The sequence below is a fragment of the Homo sapiens genome, chromosome 15 (assembly GCF_000001405.40).
Source record: "Homo sapiens chromosome 15, GRCh38.p14 Primary Assembly".
Lineage (NCBI taxonomy): Eukaryota > Metazoa > Chordata > Mammalia > Primates > Hominidae > Homo > Homo sapiens.
Genome location: NC_000015.10, coordinates 82,803,363 through 82,809,627, shown reverse-complemented (window position 1 = coordinate 82,809,627; position 6,265 = coordinate 82,803,363). Strand labels below are relative to the sequence as shown.

The window sequence follows — 6,265 nt, the reverse complement described above, 5'->3', positions numbered from 1 at the left end:
AATCGAAACCGCGTCAGTGCCCCAGCAGCACCCTGGCCCCCGGCACTTCTGATTGGCTGGCTGCCGGAGGTGGGGCTTACAAGAGGCATTCGGGGTTGGTTGGGTGATAGACGAGAGGGCCAGCGACAACCAATGAAAAGGTGAGAAGGTCTCCCTCAGGAGTCAATCATCTCGCAACCTGTTCAGGAGTCTGGGAAATACAACTCTTGCCTCACCTTTTCCACCCAATACATACGGACGTTGGAAAAATATCTGTTGAATCGGCGAGTTATTGTATTAGTCTCCCACACTAAACTATGAACTTGAGAACAGGGACCAAGCTGATTTTCTTTTCTATCATCAGGGCCCTATTGAGTACATGGTTCACGCCCTTAAGAATGTCACAAATGCGTTGGGGAGATGAAATATAAACTCGATAGTCATTTATTGAGGGCCTCTAAGTGCCAAGTACTGGGCAAGAAGCCGCAAATTTATTTTTGTCAATTCAACAAACTTTTATTGAGTGTCGGCTGTGTGTCAGTATTGAGGGGGTGGAGTAAGAGGGGGAATTCAGGGCACTGCAGCTCCCAACCAGGGTGTTTAAATACAATCTGTGTTCTAACTCTTCACTTTAGAGTTAAGGAAACGGAGGCCCAGACAAACTTAAGATACACCGACACTCGGGCTCGACATGCCCCCCTGGCTACGGAAGGCCTGTTTAAGGAGATATCAGGAAATCCAGTTTACGTGTCAGGGTGGAGCTAAATCTGTTCATGCAACAAGCACCAAGACGGCCCTAGTCTCTGCCTAGGAAATGTGCAGTGTAGACTGAGAAATACAGTCCATGTCAGCTCCCATCCTGGGAGTGCACTGAGACAGGTGGTGGGAATGGGAGGAGGAAAGGAGGGAGATGCCAGGAAGCTGGGATCAGGAGCCGTTTGCCAAAGCAAGGCCTGTGAGGTGTTGATTCGGGAACAAGTGAAAGTGTTTGTGAAGGTTTTGAGCTGGGAAAAGTTGGAATCAGATTTTGTACTTGCTGTTATCCCCAAGGGTAAACAATAAGCAAACGAAAAAATCAGGGCGAAGCTAAAGCTCTAGTTAGGGCATCTCTCTGCCTTGAAAATGACCTCAAGAAATCTAGGAACCTCTGTGGAATGCAACTTGAAGATGGAAAGGTGCCTTTGTCTGAAGGTCCCTCCCCTTTTATGCCTGCTGCCGGTGTGAGGGTTGGGGATTGGGCCCTGGGACTCAGTCACTCAGTCTTCTTGGAGAGATAAACTTTTAGCTGAAGTGATTGATTTTCCCCTATTTTAATATACTATTTTAACTAATATGAGTTACTTATGATTTTTAACAGTCTGTTTTAAATATCTTTCTTGTATATTCCTCACATTATATCTTTTTACTATCTGCTTTATACTGTGTTATTTCTGTTAGTTTTCTTATCTATTTGGTTTTTCAAGCGGAAACTGTCAATCTTTCTAATTATAAAATTGTCGTGGGTGGCTGGGTGCAGTGACTAACACCTGTAATCCCAGCACTTTTGGAGGCCGAGGTGGGCGGATCAGTTGAAGTCAGGAGTTCGAGACCAGCCTGGCCAAAATGGCCAAACCCCGTCTCTACTAAAAATACCAAAAAAAAAAAAAAAAAGAGAGAGAAAAAGAAAAGTTAGCCGGGCGTGGTGGTGCATGCCCTATAATCCCAACTACTCAGGAGGCTGAGGCATCAGAATTGCTTGAATCCAGGAGGCAGAGGTTACAGTGAGCCGAGATTGCACCACAGCATTCCAGCCTGGGCGAAACAGTGAGACTCTGCCTCAAAAAAAAAAGAAAAGAAAAAATAAAATTATCCTCTCTCTATATATTAATATATGTCTTAGTCCATTCAGGCTGCTATAACAGAATACCATTGAGTGGGTGGCTTGTAAACAACAAACATTTATTTCTCATGGTTCTGGAGGCTGGAAAGTCCAAGATTAAAGCACCAGCAGATTCAGTGTCTGGTAAGGAAGGGCTGCTTCTTGGTTCGTAGATACCTGTATTCTTACTGCATCTTCACATGGAAGAGCTCTCTGGGACCCCCAATGTAATGGCACTAATTTTATTCATGAGGGCTTGCCTTCATGACCTAATCACCTCCCAAAGGCCACATTTCCAAATACCATCACATTGGGGATTTGGTTTCAACATGGGAATTTTAGGGGAATATAAACTGTCTATAGCATATGTATATATATGTATGATGGTTAATTTTAATGTGTCAACTTGATTGGGTCACCAGGTGTTTAGTCAGACATTATTCTGGGTGTGTGTGTGTGATGGTGTTTCTGGATGAGATTAACCTTTGAGTTAGTAGACTGAGTAAAACTGGTTGCCCTCCCTCATGTGAGTGGGCCTCATCCAATCGATTGAAGGTCTGAATAGAACAAAAGCTTGAATAAGAGGGAATTCTTCCTGCCTAACTGCCTTCAAGTGGGAATATGGGTTTTTTTCCTGCCTTCCAACTCAAATGGAAACATTGGCTCTCCAGGGTCTTGAGCCTGCTGGCCTTTGGACTAGAACCACACCATTGGCTCTCCTGGATCTTCCGCTTACTAACTGCAGATCTTGGGACTTTTTGGTCTTCATAATTACATGAGTCAATTCCTTATGATAAATCTGTTTCCATATATGTATACATTCTATTGGTTCTGTTTCTCTGGACAACTCTGACTATTACACTGTGTGTGTGTGTGTGTGTGTGTGCGTGCGTGCATGTGAGAGAGAGAGAGGAGAGAGAGATTATACTGTTATGCTGGTCTGTGGGCTCAGCATCAAAGTAGGAATTTTGCAACACACCCACAGTTAACACTCACTTTTTTCCTCAACACCTAGACTCTTTCAACTTCTTAACAGAGTCAGAATTTTGGAAGAAAAGAACATTAACACTAAATTGTCATTTTATAAATTATTAAACTAAAGCTTAGAGAAATAGTCAATCATAGTCCATAAGGAATGTATTGGCTGGATAGTCCCATTTCTATGCCATACCATGGCAAGTAAAAAAAAAAAATAATAATGTTTGCTTAAGGCTTATATGGGAAGTGTGTCCTGTGCTTTGATTAGAAAAGTGCCCCCAAAATGTTTTTTAACCTTGTATGGTTCATGAGCACCTCTGAGAATCTATTGAAACCTGTGAGTTCTCTTCCCGGAAGTGATTCTATAAGGACACAGACATAATTTTGCATATAATTTTAGAAACTCATTCACTTAAAAAAAAAAAAAAGGAATCTTCTTCCTGGTCTTGCCGTGACAGTCCCCAGCCCTCTCCACATGACCAGCCATCTGAGACCCATGGTAGAGCCACAAGTCTAAAACCCCTCACAGCACAGAAAGTAACTCAGAGCACGGCATGTGACCTCTCCTGGTGACACTTGAGTAGTAAGAAGTGGCAACTCAGCCACAGCAGGTCTATATTTGGACCTTCACTCATGGCAGGCCTGTTGCTATTTGTGGCTGCAGCCAGCTCATGTTACCATCCAGCTTTGGTGCCCCACTTGCAGAACTCTGGTGTAAAATAGGCAGGGGTAGCCTGTGGGGCATGCAGAGGTCACTAGGAAGGAAAGCCTGCTGAACACAGATTCAATTTTCTAGCAGAACTCCAGGTCCTCTGAGTTAAAGGAAGCATTTATGGACGCTTAGCAGGCAAGTTTTGGGGTAGTCATATTCTTCCAATGCAAATTGTATTATTAGAAACTCAATGCTGCAATATTAATGCAATATCTTTCCTGTAGGTGGGAAGAGATATCATGGTAAATTGCAGATGTTTAAATTACAATAAATAGTGTAAATGTTTTCTGTGCCTTCTTAAAGCAAGAATTCGCATTAACTGAACATGATGTTGGGACAGGATGTGAGAGGCTCTGATGAAGGCAGACAGGGGCTGGTGATTCTTATAATGTGTCTTTAGGATATCTGTAGTGCTGGGACCCATTAGTTAGAACCATTTGGTAGAACAGTTTGGAAATATAGATGTTGAATATCATCTGGCTATACTATTGTGTTGTAAATACATTTTATTTAATCTGTGTGTACATGCTGAAAAATAATAACTTCATGCATTGATTCAAATACTAAAAAACAGCATCGTAATTATTTTTCACTTGTTATGCATACAGCCTCCTCCTATAGAAAGTTTTCAGGTTCGGGCAGTGTCTGCAAAGCTGATTTGAATCATTTCATATCACTGTAACACTTTAAGGCAAGCTTTCTTTCACTGCTGTGGCTCAGGAATTGCCAAGGGCTGCATGGAAGAGCTAAAATTATAGGCAAAGTTATGTTCCTGCCCTTATGGAATCACTTCTGGGAAGAGAATTCACAGGTTTCAGTAGATTCAGTAGATATGCCCATGATCCATAAAAGGTTAATAAACAAGCCAAGTGAGGTGGCAGATTGCATGAGCCCAGGAGTTCAAGACCAGTCTGGGCAACATAGCAAGAACCTGTCTCTAAAAAAAAAAAAAAAAAAAAATTATTGGGGGACTTTTCTAAGTAATGCACAGGGATACACCTCCCATATAAGCCTTAGACAAACATCTTTTTTATTTTTTTTAACTGCTTCCCTTGGCATAGAGGAAAGGGTATCCAGCAAAGACATTCATAATGGACTATGACTAATTGCTTTACTTCTCTAAGCTTTAGTTTCACCATTTATAAAATGACAGTTTATTGTCAACTTTCCTTTCTCCCCAAATCCTGATTTTGTTAAGAAAGAGTCTAGGTGTTGAGGGGAAAAGTGACTGTTAACTGTAGGGTGTGTTGCAAAATTCCTACTTTGACACTGAGCCAGTTTGTGTTGAGACCACTTTGTGTTGTGTGTTCGAAGGGCAAGTGCCAGCTTGAAAGCATGTGTTCTTATCTGTATTTGCACTAAGTGTTTTCCAGTCTTCTGACAGTTCAACTTGGTGTTTCACATTCCAGCTTCTGGTTGAAATAATTTCTCATGATGATTTATTGGTCATACAGAATCCTGGCTATTTCCCTTTGGGTAGCACATGGGAATGTAAGCATTATTTTAGTGAACTGCTCCTCTGTCTGTAGATGGTGTGATTTAATGGAAACCTGGGTTTGAATCCAAGCTCTTCACCTGACTGGTTGTGTGTCAGGTGAAAAGCTTGGATTCAAGCACAGGGCTAAATACAGAGTAGCCCAGATACATTTTTGTAAAAGAAAATTGGCTATAAGCAAGTCCTTTATCCTCACAAGATCTCAGTTTTGCCATCCTAAAATCAGGAATTTTTTTTAAACATCCATGACCTGCTGAATAAAATCAGGAAATTGAATTAGATGCTCTCCAAGGGACCTCCATCCCTAGAATACCATATCTCTGCCTGGGCCCCCTGGGAGAGGAATGATCTCATAGCTGATGTCTGTGCGTGGTTATGAGGCTGTTCTGCTTGGTGCCTTCTTTCATCATCGGCTGTTTTCAAGGGACAAATATTCCCACAGTAGCCATGGATGATTCCACACTGCTGTGGTCACTCTCCATGAGTGACTAGGTAGAAGGCTTCTAGCCCAGGTGGGAGATACTAAGGTAGGAATCATGATAATGATAGTAAGAACAACAACAATAACAGCAGCTAACACTTACTGAGGACTTACTTTAAGCTATGTACTATGCATAAAGTACATTATGTTATTTCATCTAAATGCCAACCTTATGAGGTAGACACTGTTAATAGAGCTGTTTTATAGTCCATTAAAGTTAGGCCTAGAGAGATGATTTTCCTGAAGTCATACTTCCAGGATGTGGCAGAAACAATGCAAACACAGGACTCTCTGAATCCAGAGGGCAGTGATCTTGGGGAGCAGGGAGAGGGGACAGGAAAAGGGATATTACTTAGAGATTCAAGAGGTAGAGTCAGAATCAGCATGAATTAGTTATTAATTAGATTGGGGGTGTCAAGGATGAGCTTCTGGTCTCTGGTTTGGTGCTGGAGGGGGTGGATGTCATGCTCTCATTCATGGATAGTAGCAATGCAGTGGACTTCATGGAGGGCCATGTTGGATGAGTATGGGGTTTAAGAAGCAGTGGTGAGATAGGGAAGAGTGGGAGCTCTCAGCAGGCAGGACAGTCTGAGCCAGGGCCTAGGGTGAGTCTCACATGGAAGACCCTGAGCGCGGCCAGAAGGAACAGAGGGTTACCGCTAGGGAAGGTGGGGCTGCTTGGGGAGTATAGAGCTATGGCATGGGGTGGGGGATCCCTGGTGCCCAGGAGAGTTGGGACTTGCCAGTAATGGAGCCCTCAGA

General features: G+C 42.7%; 1 protein-coding gene across 7 annotated transcripts in view, besides 1 other annotated feature; it reads left to right on the top strand.

Moving 5' to 3' along the window:
• Window positions 3,176–3,275: an enhancer, noted in NCBI's record as "active region_9966". NCBI's record gives its function as "activates an Ori minimal core promoter by ATAC-STARR-seq in GM12878 lymphoblastoid cells {active_cell/tissue: GM12878}" and the evidence as "EXISTENCE:reporter gene assay evidence [ECO:0000049][PMID:35858748]".
• The window catches only part of FSD2 (fibronectin type III and SPRY domain containing 2), a 50,708-nt gene continuing 48,001 nt past the window's right edge, over window positions 3,559–6,265 (top strand). For all 7 annotated transcript variants that reach the window (NM_001281806.2, NM_001007122.4, XM_011521235.4 and 4 more), the window contains exon 1: window positions 3,559–3,662. The gene's annotated coding sequence lies outside the window, so the exon portion shown is untranslated. The remainder of the gene's footprint in view (window positions 3,663–6,265) is intronic.